A 21,455-nucleotide genomic window follows, 5' to 3' on the forward strand; every position below is an offset into this window, starting at 1 on the left:
AAGAGAGAGAGTGTAACATAAATAATGTGAGTATTTCTGTTTCCCATTCCACACAATGAGCATATGCTCAAAGTGAGATGGGAGACATGAGTCTGCTTTTGCTTCAGACAGACTCACTTCCCACGAGCTTCTCCAGAGTGTGATTCTAGCATTTAAAGATATGCATTTTTCATATAACTTGGCCCCTAAACACAAGCCAGTTACTTCATCTGGTGCTGAACCAGAGAAACAGCCATCATGGGTAATTTTGGCTGAATATGATTTTAGCTGCTCCCTCTGGCCTCAGATCTCTACACGAGACAAGACTCTACTGTTATTTTGTAAAACCCCTACTCGGTGCCTATGAATGATGCCATATGGCTCCTGCTTGTTTACAGATTTGTCTAAGCCCTTGAGGTAAACGGAATCCAACCATTGACACCCTTGACACACAGCACGGGTTGGCTAGAGGGCGGTGGGGTTTGTGTATTTGTTCCTTACTCCAACACTGTCTTTTAAGATCACTATTGTAACCTGGAACACAGGATATCCCCCAAGTAATTTCACATACTTAGCTGGTCCTCTTGTGAACCACAGCTCCTTCCCCTGTGTTGTACAAGCCCACCTATGTGCATATTTTTTGAAATTTTAAGAATTGAGTTTTAGATGATTTGTGGAGCTTGGAATTTCCCAGAAGGATGACTTGCTCAGGTCTCTAGGCAGTGTCTTATGTCTAGCAGTCTGTCCATGTACATATAGTACATTTAAAAAAATTAACGTATTTATCTATTTGAATAGGTCAATATGTACATGGTAGAAAAGAAAGTAAAGCAATATTCAAGGACGTGAAGCAAACACTAAGTGCCCTCTCTCCTCAAGCACTCTAATTCTCCTCTCCAGAGTCAACCACTGTAATAAGTTTATTGTCTGTTCTCACAAAGATATTCTATGCATTTACTAACATTTCTGAACACTTCTGCACCTTGCTGATTTCATTTAATAGTGGGCATATTAGTCTGCTTGGGTTGGCCTAACAAAATAACACAGACTGGGTGGCTTAAACAACAGGAATTTATTTTCTCACAATTCTGGAGGGTAGACATACCAGACCAAGTCCATCAGGGACAGTTTTGGAGAGGGCTCCCTTCCTGGCTTGCAGACAGCCACCTTCTTGCTGTGTCCTCACATGGTGGAAAGAGAGAGAGCACTCTGGTGTTTCTTCCTCTTCTGATAAGGGGACCCACCCTGTGAGATTAGGGCCCCATCCTTATGACTTCATTTGATCTTTGTCATCTTCTCACAGACCCCATCTTCAAATACAGAACCATTGGGGGTTAGGGTTTCAACATATGAATTTTGAGGGCACACAAACATTCAGTCCATAACAGTGGATACTGGAGACTTTTTTTTGCTTTTGGTCTATTTAGACCTAGATATATCTTTTGCCCTTTTGCTGTGAGCTGAGCCTGGAGGATTGGTACCAGCTGTGATTTTATAAGGTGAGGCAGCTGGAATCCAGAGAGGTAAATGGAATCCAACTATTGAAACCCTTGAGGAGCATACAGAGATCTTGGCCAGTGGCCACCAGTCTCTCCTTGATGAACTGTTGCTGGACTTGTAGAATGGATTGTGATTCTTATGAGGCCATGGCTGTCCTCAAAGCTTAGTGTAAGAGGGAAAGCCTTGGTTAGGTGTTGGGGTCCATCCCGAGAAGGGGAAGAATAAAGCTATGCTTGTTCCAATCTGTATATTTTCCGATGGGTCAGTTCTTCATCTTCCAGAAGCTCAGCAGCCTGGGGGAATTGAGACCATAGTGGGGCTATCAATGACTTACTGCAACTCTCCCTGGAATACCTCTCTCTTTTCTTGCTAGACAAGTCTTACACATTTTGAGAACTCAAGGCAAAGCTCAGCTCCTTATAATCGATCTATCTGTTTCTTCCACTCCCATGACTCTTTCTTAGTGATGTGCTCAATTCTGTTCTCTCCAAGTCAGCTTACATTTATTGACTCCTAGGGGCTAATTCTCTCTCTCTCTCTCTCTTTTTTTTTTGAGATGGAGTTTCACTCTTGTTGCCCAGGTTGGAGTGCAATGGCATGATCTTGGCTTCCTGCAACCTTTGCCTCCCAGGTTCAAGTGATTCTCCTGTCTCGGCCTCCTGAGTAGCTGGGATTACCGGCACCTGCCACCACGCCCAGCTAATTTTTTTTTTGTATTTTTAGTAGAGAGGGGGTTTCACCATGTTGGCCAGGATGCTCTTGAACTCCTGACCTCAGGTGATCTACCCACCTCAGCCTCCCAAAGTGTTGGAATTACAGGCGTGAGCCATTCTGCCTTTTGACTTTCCATGCCATGTTGCCTTTGACTTTGATTTTTGTGGTGTATCTTAATTTTCCTAGGAGTCTGTAGTTTTCTCTCTAACTAGATTGAAAACACATTGAGGGCAGCAAATACTTCTAAGTTCTCCCTCCCATGTTGAGTATGTGCCATGTTCCAAGTAAGCATTGAGGGTGGATATTCATTGAGTTAGTACATTCAGATGATGTTTTGGGGGAAAAACTCCATCAGGAAGTAGTTTCATCTCTTCTCTCCTCTCCCCTCCTCTCCTTTCCTCTTCTCTCCTCTCCTTTTCTTTCCTTCTGATGGAGTCTCCCTCTGTCACCCAGGCTGGAGTGCAGTGGCACAATCTTGGCTCACTGCAGCTTCTGTCTTCCAAGTTCAAGCGATTCTCCTGCCTTAGCCTCCTGAGTAGCTGGGATCACAGGTGCTCACCACCACGCCTGGCTAATTTTTGTGTTTTTAGTAGAGACGGGGTTTCACCATGTTGGCCAAGCTGGTCTCAAACTCCTGACCTCAGGCAATCCACCCATCTTGGCCTCCCAAAGTGCTGGGATTATAGGAGTGAGTCACTGCGCCTGGCCAGGAAGTAGTTTCTTTTGAATATCCCTGATTGGCCCATACTTTTCCTCCCAGAGGTTTGTTGTTGGTGAAATACAACCCTTGTGTGCACTGGTCACAAGCCCTTTTCATTGTACTTTGAATGGAATCCTGCAGTTGACTATGAGAATGAGCGTGGACCATAGTTCTCATTTATGATTTAAGTCAACCCCATGGGAAATTTATACTCACGGAGGTTGTCACTTGTCCAAGTGGCTATGTTGGGATTTGAATCCCTAGATCTGTCTGACTTGTGCTTTTTTTCCACTCCATCAACTTTTCCCAACCTTCCTCTTTCCCCATCACCTGCCTCTCCCTGTCTATTGTGCTATTCAATGAAACATCATAGAGAGGATAGATGTGATTCAGCATCTGGCATATACCTGCTGTAGATGCTGTAGAACAGATTCTCTGCAAGTGCTTGTTAATGTAAGTTCTCTCCGCAGAACCTCATTCTCTTGAGACAGCAATGCTGAGAAAGCAAATCTGGGACTGGGGCTGTGATATATTCAAATTTGACAGCCTCATCCTCCTCCTAGGTGATTCTGATGTCAGTGGTCCTGAGGCCATATTTTCAGGAATACTGCCTTAAAAGTCATTATTATCCAACCAACGAATTCTTACTCTGTAGGCAACTAAAGGTTGACCCTTCCCAAGGGTCACATTTTAATGGTGTGTTTCACTTTTAACCCTGCTGGGGAGGAGAGAATTTTTGATTGGATGATCTTGAGGGGCAGAGTGTTCTTCTGCCTGCTTGTGGTTCCATCATGGTCACTTTCCAAGGTCTGAGGCAGAGGCCAGAGCTTGGGCTTGGGGGCCCATCTTGCCATTGTTAGATACAGTTAGTTTCCCTCTTCTAACAGCTTATCCAGTTTCCCTGTTCTCTATACTATAATTCCAAATACCCCCTTGCCTTTGCTGCACCCCAGCTTGTCTGAATATGCCTAGGCATGCCTGAACTTGCTACAACCCCAGTCCACATTCCTTTCCTTATTCGGGAATAGGTTACCTTCCTAGTCCCCCCATAAATGACCCCCCATCTCTCTCTTCTCACCTCACTATGTGCCTGCCTTATCTAAGAAAGTTTAAATGTCAAGCCAATCAGGACTAGTTTAGACTGTGCGGTCCAACCCTAGCCAATAGGGGAAAGACACAGAGGCAGAAGCTGCATTAGAGAAAATAAAAACCCCTGCTTTCCTTTGTTCTGTGTGCTCTCACCATTGCTCCATATGCAAGATGCACCCTTCTACAGAAGTAAATTTGCCTTGCTGAGAGATGCTTTGTCCTTTGTCTCAGTGCTAGTGTCTTTGCGGCACTGAGCATTTGTTTCCAACATATGCATTCAAATCCATGGGTTCTGTCTCTTTCTAATGGTGTAACCTCGGGGGAGGTGCATTACTCCTCCTTCCTCTCTTAAAAAATGGTGGTGTTACTATCCAGTTACTTAGATCACTGTGTAGATGAAATGGAATAATGCATGTAAAACCCTTGGCACAGTTCCTAAGACAGGCAAAAGAAAGAAACAAAACAAGAAGAAACAAACAAAGCCAAACCCTGTCTTCCCTACCGTCACCAGTTATCATGTTTTGCTACCAACCTGGTTTCATCTGTGGCACTTGAGTGAGGCACACAGTTGGAATGTACCTTTAGAAAAATGTTTAAAACTTTTTGGCCAGGTGCAATGGCTTATTCCTGTAATCCCAGCACTTGGGGAGGCTGAGGTGTGTGGATCACTTGAGGTCAGGAGTTAGAGACCAGCCTGGCCAACATGGTGAAATGCTGTCTCCACTAAAAATACAAGAAAATTATCCAGGTGTGGTGTGTGCCTGTAATCCTAGCTACCTGGGAACCTAAGGCAGGAGAATTGCTTGAACCCAGGAGGCGGAGGCTACAGTAAGCCAAGATCATGCCACTGCTCTCCAGCCTGGGCAACAGAGTGAGATTCCATCTAAAAAAAATAATTTAATTGTTATATTTTAATGTTTTTGATACATAATAGTTGCATATATTTGTGGGGTACATGATATATTTTGATACAGTTTGATACAGGCATGCAATGCATAATAATCACATCGTGGAAAATGGGGGTATCCATCCCATCAAGCATTTATCATTTGTGTTACAAACAATCCAATTATACTCCTTCAGTTATTTTAAAATATAAAATTAAAACTGTACAATTAAATTATTTTGTCATGCCTATAATCCTAGCACTCTGGGAGGCTGAGGCAGGCTCACCTGAGGTCAGTTCGAGACCAGCCTGACCAGCATGGTGAAACCCCATCTCTACTAAAAATACAAATTAGCTGGGCCTGGTGGCACATGCCTGTAATCGCAGCTACTTGGGAGGCTGAGGCAGAAGAGTCGCTTGAACCCGGGAGGTGGAGGTTGCAGTGAGCTGAGATCGTGCCACTGGACTCCAGTCTTGGTGACAGAGCAAGACTCTGTCTCAAAAAAATTAAATAAACAAATAAGTCATTTTGATTATAGTCACCCTGTTGTGCTATCAAATACTAGGTCTTATTTAAACCTTATCAAAGCATCACCACTCCAATGCAGGTTTGGGGGCACAGTGGCGGGTTTTGTTTTTGTTTCTGTTTGGCTTTGTAAGGATAGGTTACCTGGATTAATTTGTTGCTTGGGCTGGAGCCATTTGGGACCCTCAGTGCAGTGACAGCCTGATGGTAATGTGAGATCCCAACAGCTTGAATTAATCATGGAGACAGGAGGTAAAGAACAGGGATGCTGTGGAGGACAGTTCTTGACATCTGCAGGCACCTCTGTGCAACCCTTCTCAGGGATGAAGGGCAGGAGGTTTCAATTCTCTTGTATTTCCCTCCTCGGGACGGGAGAGTGGAACCTTCAGAAGTTGGTACAAATGAGCTTGCACTGAGAGGGAAAGGGCAGAAATGGGCTGAGAGTCAGTTGTGGCTAAAATGTTTGGGGACCAGTTCCTGGAACACTGACACTTGCAGAGAGCCTCTGGATGCTGGCATACTCAGACCACATTGCCTTTCTTCCAACTGCACAGAATCAAGTTGACCAACCATGGAAGCATGAGTCCCTCAGTGTTCATAACAGATGCTCTGAACAGCAGCCTTATACATCCCATTATTGAATTCGCTGCAAAGTGTCAGTTAATGAAGACAGCATCCTCCATATCTCCCAGTAGTTCCTTGTATAATGCCTATTGTGCTTTGAGAAATAAGTGCTAGAAAAAAGCTTTGCTGGTCCTAAGGAACTTGAGCATTCTCACTTCATGCTTAATGAGAACAATGTAGTTGACCGAATTTCCCTTTTCACTTTGTTTACCCAGAAGCGCACAGCCACATTTGAAACTGCATCCACCTCATCTGCTTTCTGTTTTCCATTTTGCTCTCATCTTGGCATATGCCCTGTAGTATGCCGTAGTCTTTTAGGCTCAAGGGTCAGAAACCTAAAGCAAAGAAAAAGAGGAGTTTATTGGGACGTGTCTCTCACCTTTAGGCACACGTAGGTCTCAACAGATGTTCTCGGGGCTCTGACTTTATGGCTCTATCTCTAGATTTTGTGTGCCTCTCTTGGCTTAGTTTTCAGACAGGCTCTTTCCCTGTGGTGGCAGGATGGTCACCAGCAGCTGCAAACCAGAATTGTCCTTACAGCTCCAGGCTCCAGAGAAGGAGAGAGCACATTTCCCTACAGCTGTTGAAAACCCTTGGAAAGTCCATGATTGGGCTATGATAGGTCGCATGCCCATTCCTGCACCAGTCACTGTGACGAGGGGAGGTGGTGCTCTGATTGGTTGGTCAGGGTTCAGGTATCCACTGTTGGAGTGGGTGGGGTCAACTCCACCCAAATCTCACAGGTTGAAGAGAATTATAATGGAACAGAGTATGGTGTGTGTGTGTGTGTGTGTGTGTGTGTGTGTGTGTGTGTGTGTGTGTGTGTGTGTGAGAGAGAGAGAGAGAGAGAGAGAGAGAGAGAGAGAGAGAGAGAGAGAGAGAGAGAGAGAGATCCTCAGGGGAGATCTTCAGAGAACAGAATAGAAAACAATGACGAAACCTCTACCTACCCCTTATTCTAATTTATATTTCCCTGTTTTGAATGTATGATTGTTTATTTATATTTTACTTTGCTGTCTTAAATCCTTTGTGAAATGAGGTGGAATAAATAAATGATAAGATGTGTAAACTGCCTTAATAAACAAGTGAATGCATCTCTCCTTACAGAAGGAGGGTAGGGTTGATTAGAGGTAACAGTCAGGAAACTGAGCATCAGATTGAGCTCTGGAATGTGCTGGAGGTAGAAAGTTTGTCTCCTGTTGGCCATGGTGCACAGCTGACCTCCATTCTGTTCTGGGCATGCCTGTTAGAAAACACCCTGCCTCCATTTGTAGATATTGATGAGGGGCTCATCTAATATAGATCCTATTTTACAGATTAATAACAAAAGCTAAGATAAAGACACTAGCTCAGGGTTCACATCTTGAAATTCTTGACTTACTTGTTTATTGTCATTCTGCCTTTCCCCTCCATTTTTACATTATTTTACATTTTTAATAATTTATTTATTTCTCAACCCCAACACTATTGATATCTTGGGTCAGACAATTCTTTGTTGTGGGGCTGCTGGTGCATTGCAAGATGTTTAGTAGGGTTCCTGGCCTCTACCCACTAGATGCCAATAGTCCTCGCTTCCCACCCAGTTATGATAACCAAATATGTCTCTAGTCATTGTTGAGGGGTGAAATTGTCTTGGTTGAAAACCACTGTTGTATTAGAATATGACTTCCAAGAGAAGAGGAATCTTGTGTGACTTGGTCACTGTTTAATTTCTCAGCCTAGTACAATGTCTGGCACCTAGGAGATGCTCAATAAATCTTTATTGACTAAGGGAATTAATTTGCTTTGAACTCTTATTTCTAGGCTGTCTTGACCTCCAAGCAGCAACATTTCTTTCTAGAAGAAACCTAAAATTCAAAGTTTATGTCATCACCCTCTCTCAGGTACTTGACAGTCAGTCAATACATGCTAGCATCTGGCATTGTTACGATGATGATTGTTTCTTCCTGGAAGATTGCTGAGCCCAAAGCCATGGATTATTCTGCTTTTTTTGTTGACCTTGCACGTTTGAACTAAAAGTCACTGGTGAATCTTGAACCTGCAGGGAGAGACTGGATTGAAATAGCTGGAGAATGGGATGTTGGCAGCAGGCATAGAGGTTTGAAGGACTTTGGGAAGGTAGCGTTCCATGAAATGACCCTGGCATTGGGTTCTTGGAGCCTAAGTTCTCTAGCTAGAAAGCAGCTGTGGAACTTAAATGTTCCTTATGCAGGAATAGTACTGTACCCTCCACACCTCCCTAAGACTGTTTGGAAAAACGTAGGAATTTTTTTCAGTATCAGTATCCTGTGGAGCTGCCTTGGTTTGACTTTCCTACAAGCAGATGCTGAGACAAGGATATGAGGACAAATAATTTATTTGAGAGTTGATCCCAGGAAACACTGTTAGGTGAGCATAAGTGAGATAGGGAAACCCATCAAGGGTGTGTCATCCAGTTACAACCATGGGCAACTGGAGCTCAGTCCTGCTGGAGAACTCTGGGGGAGCAAGAAGAACGTGCCCCAGAGTCATTGCAATTGAAGAGCAAGGAAGCTGGGGGGCTTATCCACCAAATTCTAGCTCAACATTGCTTGAGGGCTGCTTCCAGGGGCATTGACACTCTAGTACTTCTGGTTGTTTTGGGTGAGAACCACGTGTGTTTTTTAGCCAGAGCAAAGTTACCAGGCAGAGAGCCCCAGGTGTTTGCAGCTGGCACTCTTGAGTGTGGAGGTGAGTGTTGAAGGATCGCTATAGGGAACTGACAGTGTCTGATACAGGACATCTGGTGGGCAGGGGCTGAATATCTCACAGCACATACGGCAGCCCCTCACAGGTAAGAATTATCCACTCTGAATGCCAATAGACATGCCTTTGAGAAACATGATGAATGGGAATGGATATTTCGTTTGGATTCCTGGAAGAGAGAACTCTGTTTTATTTTTATTTATAAAATCAATAAGTGTTATTTTTCCTGGTTATAAATGTAATAGGTACTCCTTGAAGAAAATGTGAAAAGTACAGGGAAAAAATCCTTAAAGGAGACACATTTTAATGCATTTCTTTCTTGTTCTATGTAAAGTCTGTAGAAATAATTGTTACAAGAACAAGTTCTGGGTTCAAATTCAGACTCCACCACTTACTAGTTATGTGGCCTTGAATAAGTTAGTTCACCTCCCTGGGCCTTAGTTTTCCCAACTGAAAAATTGGAATGATAATATCTTATAGGGTTGTTTTGAGACTTAAATGAGATGATATATGTAGAGTACTTGGCTTATAATAAGAACTCATTAAATGTGGTATATACATACACATCTCCTTTTAAGAATGAGAATATGGCCAGGTGTGGTGGCTCACACATCCTGGCTCCCCCAGAGCAACGAGATGAGCACTTTGGGAGGCTCAGACAGGTGGATCACTTGAGGACAGGAGTTTGAGACTAGCCTGGCCAACATGGCGAAACCCTACTAAAAATACAAAAATTAGCCGGATGTGGTGGTGCACACCTGTAATCCTAGCTACTTGAGAGGCTAAAGCATGAGAACTGCTTGAACCTGGGAGGGGGAGGTTGTTACATGAGTTGGCTAACCTGTTTTCCCAGCACCATTTATTGAATAGTACATCCTTTCCCCATTGATTGTTTTTGTCAGCTTTGTCAAAGACCAGATGGTTGTAGATGTGTGGTGTTATTTCTGAGGTCTCTGTTGTTTTCCATTGGTCTATATATCTGTTTTGGTACCAGTACCATGCTGTTTTGGTTACTGTAGCCCTGTAGTATAGTTTGCAGTCAGGTAGTGTGATGCCTCCAGCTTTGTTCTTTTTGCTTAGGATTTTCTTGGCTATAGAATCTCATAGTCTTATTGGGAAAGATACAACTTGAAAGCATAAGGGAACCAAGTAAAAAGACAATACCAGCATGGAGCTAGATTGTGTTTCCTAGAAGCAAAGCCTGAGTCAAGGATTTGGGGGCATTTAATTTATCGAGGAGATTCTCTTAGAAGGAGGAGAGCAAGGAAGGAAGGTAGGGCAGGGGAACAGAGCCAAGCAAGGAGATAGTCTTGGTTGGAGACAAGCTGCAGCTTGATAACAGAGAAAGTTCTGGAACATGGATTGTAACACCAAGTTGGTCCTGATTTGAGGCAAGTGGCTGGTGTTTTGAACTTTTGTGTCAGTCAGTCCCCGGCTCTGGCTGTCCCTCTGGCTGGAGGTTGGGGGCCGAGTAATTTCCTAGAAGAGACATTCTCAATAGCCATGGCGGAGAAGGGGGCAGCTGTGAGCCATTAGCAACCAACATTCTCAACAGCTGGTGAAGGGCATTTGAGCAGGGCACTGCATGGCCATTGCAGTTCTCTAGGGCAGGAGGCAGCAACTACAGCCCATGGGGGAATTCCTGCTTGCCCCCTGTTATTGTAAATTAAGTTTTACTAGAACACAGACACGCTCATTTTTTCACGTATTGTCCATGGCTTTTTCTGCTGCAATAGCAGAGTTGAGTCGTTGTGACAGTGACTGTATGGCCTTCAAAGCCTAACACATTCACTCTCTGGCCTTTTAACAAAAGGTTTCCCAGCATTTGGTCGAGGGGAATAAGAGAAATAAGAGGGGTTCACTGTAATCTGGGTGGTCCCAAGGTGGGTGTTACTCTTACTCTGGGATGTGGGGAAATGGCGAGGTTTGGGTTAGAGGTGAGAAAGCTGGAAGACCTTCAAGGACTAGTGGGTTAATGCAGGTACAGGAGAAGCAAGTATACCTGGAAAAAGGTATATGACTGTAGCAAACAAGCGTGATAAGGTACAGATCCTTCTCTCCAAGGACCATGTGGCTATCTGGGACAGTAGCTTGTTTAAGTGAAGAAATCCACTTAAGGCTCATTTCCAGGGAAGAATTCCATTTAGAAACCCTTAATCAGGGGAGTGCATGGTCTGGGGCATGTTAAACGCAAATGCATTCAAACGTAATTATTTGGAGCAGCTATAAACAAGTCTGGTCACTTAAGATAAAGATGTAAAGCACACGCTTTGCCTTCATCAGAGCAGCAAAAGGAGAAAAGGATATCTCAGTCCTCGATGTTGGTGAATAGTTAGCAGGAATTCATTCAGCTTGGGGAGACATCACGTGGTGGCTAACAGGGACATCGGGACAGCAGCTCTTGAAATCCACGGGCTATTTTTGTCAAAGGAGAATTCAGTTTTAAATATTCGATGCTTTTAGGATAACTCATCTATCACTGGGCCAATTTAAGTCTCATTAATCACACGAAGGAAAGAACTCCCTGCCCCTTGAAGGTATCAGTGTATAGCTGCGAAATGGAGGCCTGGTTCCTCTGAGAAATAGAACACAAATGGTATAATTTTGCAAAGATGGGAGCAAGAGTGATCCCCCAAGTAGTGACCGTTCCTTGACTCAAAATTGCCGGTTGTGGGTTCTGTTGCCAAACCTGGGGCCACCTGAATCGACAGGGTTTAGAAGATCATGATGGGAATCTGTGGATCACATTTGAGAAAGCATAGGGTTGGATAAACACCATAGCCTTTGGGGCTAGGTAGCCTCCATTTATTGTTTTCCCTAGTAAGAAAAGACTGTGTACTAGACAATGTGTGCCAAACCAATTGTGTGCCAGGATTTGTGTTTAAGGTGCTTAGTTTAATCTTTATAATGCGTCTATGATATCTATGCCATTAGCCCTTTTACATATCTGAAAATTGAAGTTTAGAGATGTCTACTCATTTGCTCAGGGTCATAGAACTTGAAAGTGGCAGAGCCGGGATTTGAACCCTGGTTTGACTATTTCTAAACAAAACCAAGCTCTTGAACTATTATATGATACTGCACTCAAGGAGAGCCACTCTCATCAGTAAAGGAGGACTTACTCACCCTGGAAAAACTGGAAAATACAGAATGGTAGAAAGTAGAAGAAAAACCAACAACCATTAATTCTAATTGCCCCAAGTAAGTTATTGACAACATTGTGGTGTATTTCTGTCTTTGTTTGAGCTGCTATAACAAAATACCATGATTGAGTAGCTCACACACAAAAGAAGTTTATTTCTCAGAGTTTGGAGACTGGGAAGTCCAAGATCAAGGTGCTGGCAGATTCAGTGTCTGGTAAGGGCCTGTTTCTCATACACGGTGACTTCTTGTGTCCTCACATGGTGGAAGGGAGAAACAAGCTCCCTAGGATCTGTCTCATACAGGCATTAATCCTGTTCACAAGGGCTCTACCCTCATGAGCTAATCACGTCTGAAGGCCCCACTTCTTAATATCATCACTATGGGGCCTAGAATTTCAATGTATGAAGCTGGGGTGGGACACAGATATTCAGACCATAGCAATATCCTTCTAGGATTTAAAAAATGTTCATATCTGAAAAAACACATATTTGCACCATGCATTTTTGTCTTATTTTTCCCAATAAACCAACATTATGCCATAAGCATTTAAATATTATATACCTTTGTAATATAATTTCAAATAACCTCATAATATTTCACCATGTGGCTGGATATACTCATCTGTGTTAGTTTCCTTATCTTTAAAATATTAGTAATATTTCCCACTGCATGGCTGTGTGGTAGGATGAGATAATGGCAATTAAGTGTCTGATGCATGATAGGTACTCAGTAGATATTTGTACCCTTCTCTCCCTGTATTAAGAAAGTTCCCTAGGAGCAGAGCCTGAGATAGGAATTCTTATGCAAAGCATGTATTATGGGAGTACTAGCAGGAAAAGTCTGGAAGGGAGTGATGGCTGCGAGAGTGGGCAAGGAAGCAAGTGAGTCAAGAACGAGGTCTCCACTGGAGCCCAGCCACAGCCTGATTCCACGGGCAGCTCTGGAGCGTGAACTGCACCACAGTCAGCCCCACTTTGAGGCAATGGGGTTGGCCTTTTATTTTTCCATGTCAGTAGTCACTGGCTGTGGACTGCTCCTTGAGGAGAGGGAGGTAAAATGTTTGGGTGAGGCACCTCCTATTCAACCAAGGGGTACAGTTTAGAGCAGGCCTTTCCAAAATGTCAGCCCCTAGCCACATGTGGCTACAAAGCATGTGACATGTGGCTAGTCTGAATCAAGGTGCATTGTAAGTGGAAAATACACACTGGATTTTGAAGGCTTAGTTGAAAAAATAGATGTCAACATCATTAATAATTTTAAAAAATTGCTTACATGTCTAATGTGATAATATTTTGAATATACTGGGTTAAATAAAACATATGACATATTAAAATTAAGTTCACTTATTTTTTATATTATCTTTTTAATTGAGGCATAATAATTGTACATATTTGTGGGGTACTTATGATATTTCAGTACATGCATACAATGTGTAATAATCAAATAATAGTAATTAGGACATCCATCACCTCAAACATTTATTATTTCTTTGTGTTGGGACCATTCCAAATTTTCTCTTCTAACTATTTTGATATATGTAATAAATTGTTATTAATTATAGTTACCCTACTGTGCTACTGAACAGTAGAATTTACTGCTTCTATCTAGCTGCAGTTTTGTACCCATTAACCAACTTTTCCCCATTTCCACCTCCCCACTACTTGTCACAGCCTATGGTAAACACCGTTCTATTCTCTAGCTCCTTGAGATAAACTTTTTTCGTTCCTACATACAGGTGAGAACGTGCAATAATTTGTCTTTCTGTGCCTGACTTATTTCACTTAACATAATGTCTTCGGATTCCATCTATGTTGCTGCAAATGACAGGATTTCATTCTTTTTAATGGCTGAGTAATATTCCTCTGTGTATATATACCACATTTTCTCTATCCATTCTTTGGTGGACATTTACGTTGATTCCATATCTTGGCTATTGTGAATAATGCCACTATAAACAAGGGAGTGCATATATCTCTTTGATATACTAGTATCTTTTCTTTTGCATATATACCCAGCAGTGGGATTCCCCCGGGAAATGCATCTCAAAATCACAATGAGAAATCATTTCACCCCAGTTAAAAGGCTGTTATCAAAAGGGCAAAAAATAGCAGATGCTGGTGAGGATGTGGAGAAAAAGGAACTCTAGTGCACTGTTAGTGGTAATGTAAATTAGTACAGCCGCTGTGGAAAACAGCATGGAGGTTCCTCAAAAAACGAAAAATAGATCTACCATATGACCTTTTAATTTGTTTTTTTTTTTTGAGATGGAGTGTCACTGTTGCCAGGCTGGAGTGCAGTGGCATGATCTCGGCTCACTGCAACCTCCACCTCCCGGGTTCAAGCTATTCTCCTGCCTCAGCCTCCTGAGTAGCTGGGATTATTAGCTACCACGGCTGGCTAAATTTTTTTTTTTGTATTTTTAGTAGAGATGGGGTTTTGCCATGTTGGCCAGGATGATCTTGATCTCCTGACCTTGTGATCCACCCACCTCAGCCTCCAAAAGTGCTGGGATTACAGGCGAGAGCCACTGCGCCCGGCCCTTTTAATTTTTTTTTTTTTTTAAATGTGGCTACTTGAAAAGTTGAACTCACACCTGTAATCTCAGCACTTTGTGGGGACGAGGCGGGTGGATCACTTGAGATCAGGAGTTCAAGACCAGCCTGGCCTACATGGTGAAACCCCATCTCTACTAAAATACAAAAATTAGCCAGGCGTGGTGGCAGGCACCTGTAATCCCAGCTACTTGGGAGACTGAGGCAGGAGAATTGCTTGAACCCAGGAGGTGGAGGTTGCAGTGAGCCAAGATCGCACCACGGCACTCCAACCTGGGTGACAGAGCAAGACTCCTTCTCCAAAAAAAAAAAAAAAAAAAAAAAAAAAAGGCAAAAAAGCAAAAAAAAAGAAAAGTTGAACTTACACACCTGGCTCACGCTTGTGGCTCTCGTTACGTTTCCCTTGGGCAACATCACTGGGGGGTAGAAGTCGACACACTTTTTCTATAAAAGACCAGACTGTAAATATTGTCAACTTTGCAGGGTGCACAGTCTCTGTTGTAGTGACTCCACTCTGCAGTTGCAGAGGTGAAGCTGCCACACATAAAATATATACAAATAGGCATGGCTGTGTTCCAAGAAAACATTATTTGCAAAAACAGGTGTTGGGCTGGATTTGGCCCATGGACTGTATTTCACTGACCTCTGCTGTAGAAAAAAAATCAGCTGTGAACTGTTAGCAGCCAGTACTCATATTGGCTGGGGATGGCGGTGGGGGAGGGGTGCACCTGCCTGGTAAAAGGATCTGGGGGAGGAACCACCAGTGTGTCCTCTATAGTTCAATTTCTCTCCTGGTTAGAGAAGAATTCTTTTTCCAGTGATTCTTCCCTGCCTTCACCACTGACCTCTAGATACTTTGTCTTTAAAGGAAGAAGCTTTGTTAGGGGTTGCGGTGGAGCAGGGAACTTCACTTCAGGGAGCTTGGAGTATGAAACACTCCTGCCTCAGAGGCTGAAGATGGAGAAATATGCAGGAGGACAAACAAAACCAAACATTTATTTTCTTCTTACAATTGGAGGAAAGGAACATATGCATGTCAATATGGCATTTGAAGATGCTACTTGGTATTCTGCAGGTCTGTGCAACTGGTCTACCCTGGAAGGCGGAGGCAGTGTCTAGGGACTTAAATGATTTTTTTTTGTTTTAAATAACACATTCCCCCAGCTTTTGCTAATGCAGACGTAAACATGGAATTTTTCAATTGAGAGCAATTAACATATAATGCCCTAGGCCAGGAGCTAATTAATACAAAATCCTGGGGAAACAGCAGCACTGCAGCTCATGCTTTCCCAAGGTGGAATTGCTTCATCAAAATGATTCTTGGTCTCCAGAGAACTTTCTGTGACCTGTTTAGGCTGGAATTGGATGTCTCCACTGGGCCTGTGCATCTCCTCTGGCAGCCCCGTGGCACGGTCCCTCCTCACAAATGTGGAGGATCTCCCAGAGGGCCCTTCAGCTGACGTGTGGTTGAGTCTTCCCCAGTTTTTATCCATTGATATATTGGGATAATCTCCTCTGTCTTCAGTGTCCTCCTGTTAGAATCCTTTTGTTCCTTAAAGTCAGAATTGACATCATCTGATGTGGTTTAGCTCTGTGTCCCCATCCAAATCTCATGTTGAATTGTAATCCGAACTGTAATCCCCATGTGTCAAGGGAGGGACCTGGTGGGAGGTGATTGGATCATGGGGGTGGTTTCCTCTATGCTGTTTTAGTGATATGAGTGAGTTCTCACGGGATCTGATGGTTTTAAAAGTGGCACTTCCTCCTTCACTCTTTCTCCCTTCTTCTGCCATCGAATACATGCCTGGCTTCTCCTTCACCTTCCACCATGATTGTAAGTTTCCTGCAGCTTCCCCAGCCATGCAGAACTGTGAGTCAATTGACCCTCTTTTCTTCATAAATTACCCAGTCTCAGGGAGTAGCTTTATAGCACTGTGAGAACAACTAATACATTGTCCTCCTTTCTGCCCCCTCTTCCTTTCACAAATGTTTATTGAACACCTACTATGTACTGAGTGTGTTTTAGGCACTGTGTATGAGGCAGGCACAGCTCCTGACTTACATGCTAATGGGGAAGACTAATAACTAATATGTAAATAAATAGTAAAGTATGCAACTTCAGGAAGATAAGGGCTGTGAAAAAATAAAGAAGGACAAAGGAATAGAAGGTGATGTGTGTGGGATGTCTCTTTTAGATAGAGTGGTCAGGGGACATCTCTTTGAGGAAGTGGCCCTTGAGAGGAACCTTAAAAAAAAGTAAAAAAAAAAAGAAAAACAAAAAAACCCCTCAACAACAACAACAACAACAACAACAACAACAAAAAACAGCCAAAGCTTATAAAGGCCAAAGCTCAAATAGTGCCTACTCTGTGCTAGGCATTGTTTGGAGTGCTTTGCAGACATTGACTGATTATTCTTCATGACAATGCAATGTGGAACTATGATGAGCCCATTTGGTAGATGAGAACCTGAGGCACAGAAAGATGAAGCTGTTGGCCAAAGGATGCCTTGTTCATCAGTGCTAGGATGGACTTTGAAGCCAGACACCTAACACCAAGCACTCTTAACCAACAGAAAGCATAAGGACATTGATTGATTGAATATTTGATTCATTGATTTATTGTAATCTCTCATTCCTAGAGCACCCAATGAGCATCAAGTAGGCATAAATAAGACCTATTACTCTTTTACTGCCTACAAGTAGAGACAGCCTTGGGGCTCAGGCTTGCTGAGAAATATTAGATAAGATATTGTGTCAGTCTGAGACAGTGGGGGAATATATTAATTCATTCTCACACTGCTATAAAATTCTACCTGAGAGTGGGTAATTTATAAAGAAAGGAGGTTTAATTGACTCAGTTTTACATGGCTTGGGAGGCCTCAGGAAACTTACAATCGTGGTGGAAGGCAAAGGGGAAACAAGCAGCTTCTTCATAAGGTGGTAGGAGAGAAAGAGTGAGCTAGGAAGTGCCACACTTTAAAACCATCAGCTCTTGTGAGAACTCACTCACTGTCATGAGAACAGCATGGGGGAAACTGCCCCTAAGATCCAGTCACCTCCAACCAGGTCCCTGCCTCAACCTGTGGGGATTACAATTTGAGATGAGATTTGGGTGGAGACACAGAGTCAAACCATAACAAGGAATTAACAGCCAAGTCCACTCAGCAGAAGTGGCGAGATGATTTAAGACTTGAAGGACGAGTTTGCAGGAAGACAATGTTGGACTGAAGATGTGGAAAATGAGGAAATAGGCCTCAGGAAGGGCATGGCTGAGCAGCAGGAATAGCCTGTGCAAAGGCGTAGAGATGTGGTGTGCCCAGGGAAGTAGAAGTGTCTAAACATGGCATAGGGAGCATGTGGGCAAATAACAACTTATGAAACAGCAAATGTGGGCAGAATTTAGACAGAAACATGGGCATACAGAACTCAGATTTTATCTTGAGGGCCATGGGGAACCACTGAATGACTTTAAATAAAGGGTGATATGTTTGGATTTGTGTGGTTGGAGGATTACATGGGGAATCATGTGCATGTGGTTGGAAGATTACATGGGGAACAGTGTGTGTGTGGAGGGTTTGATGGAGGACAGGTTATTCCCTCAGTGCCTCTTGACACCTTCCATGTGGCCTAGTAGAAATAGAACTTTTTCCTTGGTTCTTAGACATTTTAATGAATAATAATGGCAGCTAATTCTTAGGAACATATTAAGGGCTAAATAGATTTTATGCTATTTTATATTTTTACCTTATTTAATCCTAAAATATATTCTGTGGAATAAATACTACTATCATTTTTATTTTACAGATTAGGAAACAGTTGTAGAGGGTACATGGCACATCTTGAGTTACACAGCCATTAACCAGTGAAACGGGGATTACAGCCTGGGGATCTGAATTCCAAAGGCCAGAGTATTAAGCAGTATGCTATTATCACTCATCTTTCTATGTGCACATGTGTTATTTCCATATCCAGAGGGCACAGCATGCATAAATGCATTTATTGGGCATCTACTATGCACTCGGTATGTGATGGACAGTTCCACACAATATTATTTGTGTTATTCCCTCACAATAGCCTGGTACAGGGTTATCTCCTTTTAATAGATGACAAAACTGAAGCCAGGAGGTGTGCATTGCTGTTTTTTTTTTATTCTTGCCTAGTGTTTCCATTGATTTCTCCCTGAGAGTTTTGTAAGCCTCCTTCTACATCTTTAACTACTTTTATTTCCTGTGGGATTGTCTCTGCTGTCCCTGACAAAGGCTCTAGACAATGGGCATGTCAGGACTGGCTGGATTCCACCAATTCCCAGACACAAGTATTTTTTCTCCTCCATAGTTTGGTTCACTTAATGGCCATTGCTTCCTCATTTTCTTGCCAAGTGACCCCTCCAACCAATGGCCTCCTCTCTAGGCTGGTTGGTGATCAACACACCCTAGAGAATAACCAGCACATTCAGTCTCTGGGCAGATGTGCCTCTGAGTGTGTTTCCCACTGGGGTAGAGTGGAAGGTTGTATTCCTAGAGACAAACTCATGTCCCAAAGACCTTGAGTTTGCTTTTTCTCAAGGTGCCATGAGTTATTTATTTATTATAGGCCAAAAAAAAAAATGTGAGCATGGTACTGGTACAAAAATAGATACACAGATCAATAGAACAAATAGAGAACCCAGAAATAAAGCCACATACCTACAGTCAACTTATCTTCAACAAAGTAAAAAAAAAAAAAACAATGGGGAAAGGACAGCCTTTTAAATAAATGGTACTGGGAGAATTGGCTAGCCATATGCAGAAAAATAAAACTGACATCTAAACTCTCACCATATGCAAAAATTAACTCAAGATGAATTAAGGGCTTAAATCTAAGACCTGGACCTATAAAAATCCTAGAAGAAAACCTAGGGAAAACTCTTCTGGACATTAGCCTAAGTGAATAATTTATGATGAAGACCCAAAAAGCCAATGCAACAAAACAAAAAATAGAGAAATGAGACTTACTTTAATTAAAAAGTTTTTGCAGAGCAAAATAAATAATCAACAGAGTACACAGACAACCTACAGAATGGGAGAAAATATTTGTAAATTGTGCCTCCGACAAAAGAGTAATATCAAGAATCTAGAAGTAACTAAAACAACTCAACAAGAAACAAACAACCCCGTTAAAAACTGGGCAAAGGGCGTGACAGACATTTCTCAAAAGAAGAAATACAAGTAGCCAATAAGCACTAATCATTAGAGAAATGTGAATTAAAGCCACACTGAGCTACGCCTTACACCTGTCAGAATGGCTATTACTAAAAATCAGAAAACAACAGATGTTGGCATGGATGTGGAGAAAAGGGAATGTTTATACACTGTTGGTGAGAATGTAAATTAGTTTAACCCTTATGAGAAACAGTATAGAGATATCTCAAAGAATTAAAAATAGAACTACCATTTGACCCAGCAATAACACCATTTTTATTTGCCTGAAAGGAAAGAAATAATTATATAAAAAATACATCTGCATTCATGTTTATTTCAGCACTACTCATAATAGCAATCATGGAACCAACCTAAGTGTCCCTTAATGGTTGATTGGATAAAGAAAATGTGGTATGTATACACTGTGGACTGCTATGCAGCCATAAAAAGAATGAAATCATGTCCTTTGCAGCAACATGTATGCAGCTGGAGGCCATTTGTCCCAAGTGAATTAACTCAGAAACGGAAAATCAAATATCATGTTCTCACTTGTAAGTGGGAGGTAAACAATGGGTAGACATGGTCATAAAGATGGCAATAATAGACACTGGGGACTCCAAAAGAGGGGAGAATGGGAGGGAGCTGAGCTTTGAAAAATTACCTATTGGGTAAAGTGTGCAGTATTTGGGTGATGGGTACACTAGAAGCCCAATCTCCACCATTACACAAAATACCTATATACCCCCCAAATCTAAAGTTAAAAAAATGTGTATTTGTGCATTATTTTTCAGTTTTAGATATATATGAAACCTAGATAAAGTTATAGATATATGTTTATTAACAATAATGTATATATATTCATCACCAAATATTTAATGTTTAGATAAACTGAAAGAATAAATGAAAAATAACCTTTACTCTTATCACCTACAGATAAACACAGGTATCATTTTGGAGAGTATTCATCTACTCTCTTCTCCCTCCTTCCCTCCTTCCCTCTCCCTTACAAAATGAAATCATATTGTATTAATAAATGCTGCTTTGTCATTGGTGACTCCCTTTCACAGCTCAGCAGAGGCACCTTGACATTCTTCTCTAGCAATGTCTTTCAAACTTCTTTTAGCCTCTTTTGAACCCTTTCTACAAGCATAGGGCTTGGAAACATAATTTATAACTGATTTTCTTAGTCTGCTTGGGCTGTGTCTTCATCAGTTCAGGCTGCCATAATAAAATACCATAGAGTGGGTGGCTTATAAACAACAGACATTTGTTTCTCACGATTCCGGAGGCTGGAAGTCTGAGATCAGGGTGCCAGCGTGGTTGGGTTCTGGTGAGTGTCCTCTTCTGGGCTGCAGACTGCTAACTTCTCTGTGTCCTCACATGGCAGGGAGCAGAGAGGGAAGTAACCTTTACCAGAACTCTTATAAGGACACTAATCCCATTCACAAATGCTTCACACCTTTATGACATCATCTAATCCTAATTACCTCCCAAAGGCACCATGTTCTAATAGGATCACATTGAGGGGTAGGATTTCAACATATGAATTTGGGGGGAGGTACATAAACATTCAGTCTATGACAGGCTTCTATAACAAAATACTATAAACTAAGAGGGTTAAACAACAAGCGTATTTTTTTGTTTTCTTCTCACAGTTCTTGAGGCTGGAAGTCCAAGATCAAGGTGCTGGGTTTGAATTTCCTAGTGAGGGCTCTCTTCCTGGCTTGCAGATGGCCACCTTCTCGCTGTGTCCTTACATGATCCAGAGACAGAGAGAGCTCTGGTCTTTTTCTATTCTTGTAAAGACACTGATACCAGCAAGGGGGCTCGACTTTC

General features: G+C 42.3%; 1 protein-coding gene and 1 long non-coding RNA gene across 7 annotated transcripts in view, besides 1 other annotated feature; one reads left to right on the forward strand and one right to left on the reverse strand.

Moving 5' to 3' along the window:
- The window catches only part of SHISA9 (shisa family member 9), a 661,420-nt gene that overhangs the window by 34,885 nt on the left and 605,080 nt on the right, over window positions 1-21,455 (forward strand). The window lies entirely within an intron of this gene.
- LOC105371092 (uncharacterized) lies at window positions 1,659-21,026 on the reverse strand. The gene is made up of 3 exons (XR_001752088.3): window positions 20,898-21,026; window positions 5,539-6,353; window positions 1,659-1,772 (listed from the first exon to the last, which is right to left on the reverse strand). It is a non-coding gene; the product is annotated as an uncharacterized LOC105371092 (long non-coding RNA).
- Window positions 3,202-4,401: an enhancer, noted in NCBI's record as "P300/CBP strongly-dependent group 1 enhancer chr16:13033541-13034740 (GRCh37/hg19 assembly coordinates)". NCBI's record gives its function as "activates an origin of replication core promoter dependent on BRD2, BRD4, P300/CBP, MED14 and CDK7 cofactors, with strong dependence on P300/CBP, by STARR-seq in HCT116 cells {active_cell/tissue: HCT116}" and the evidence as "EXISTENCE:reporter gene assay evidence [ECO:0000049][PMID:35650434]".

The sequence above is a fragment of the Homo sapiens genome, chromosome 16 (assembly GCF_000001405.40).
Source record: "Homo sapiens chromosome 16, GRCh38.p14 Primary Assembly".
NCBI classification, from domain to species: Eukaryota; Metazoa; Chordata; class Mammalia; order Primates; family Hominidae; genus Homo; species Homo sapiens.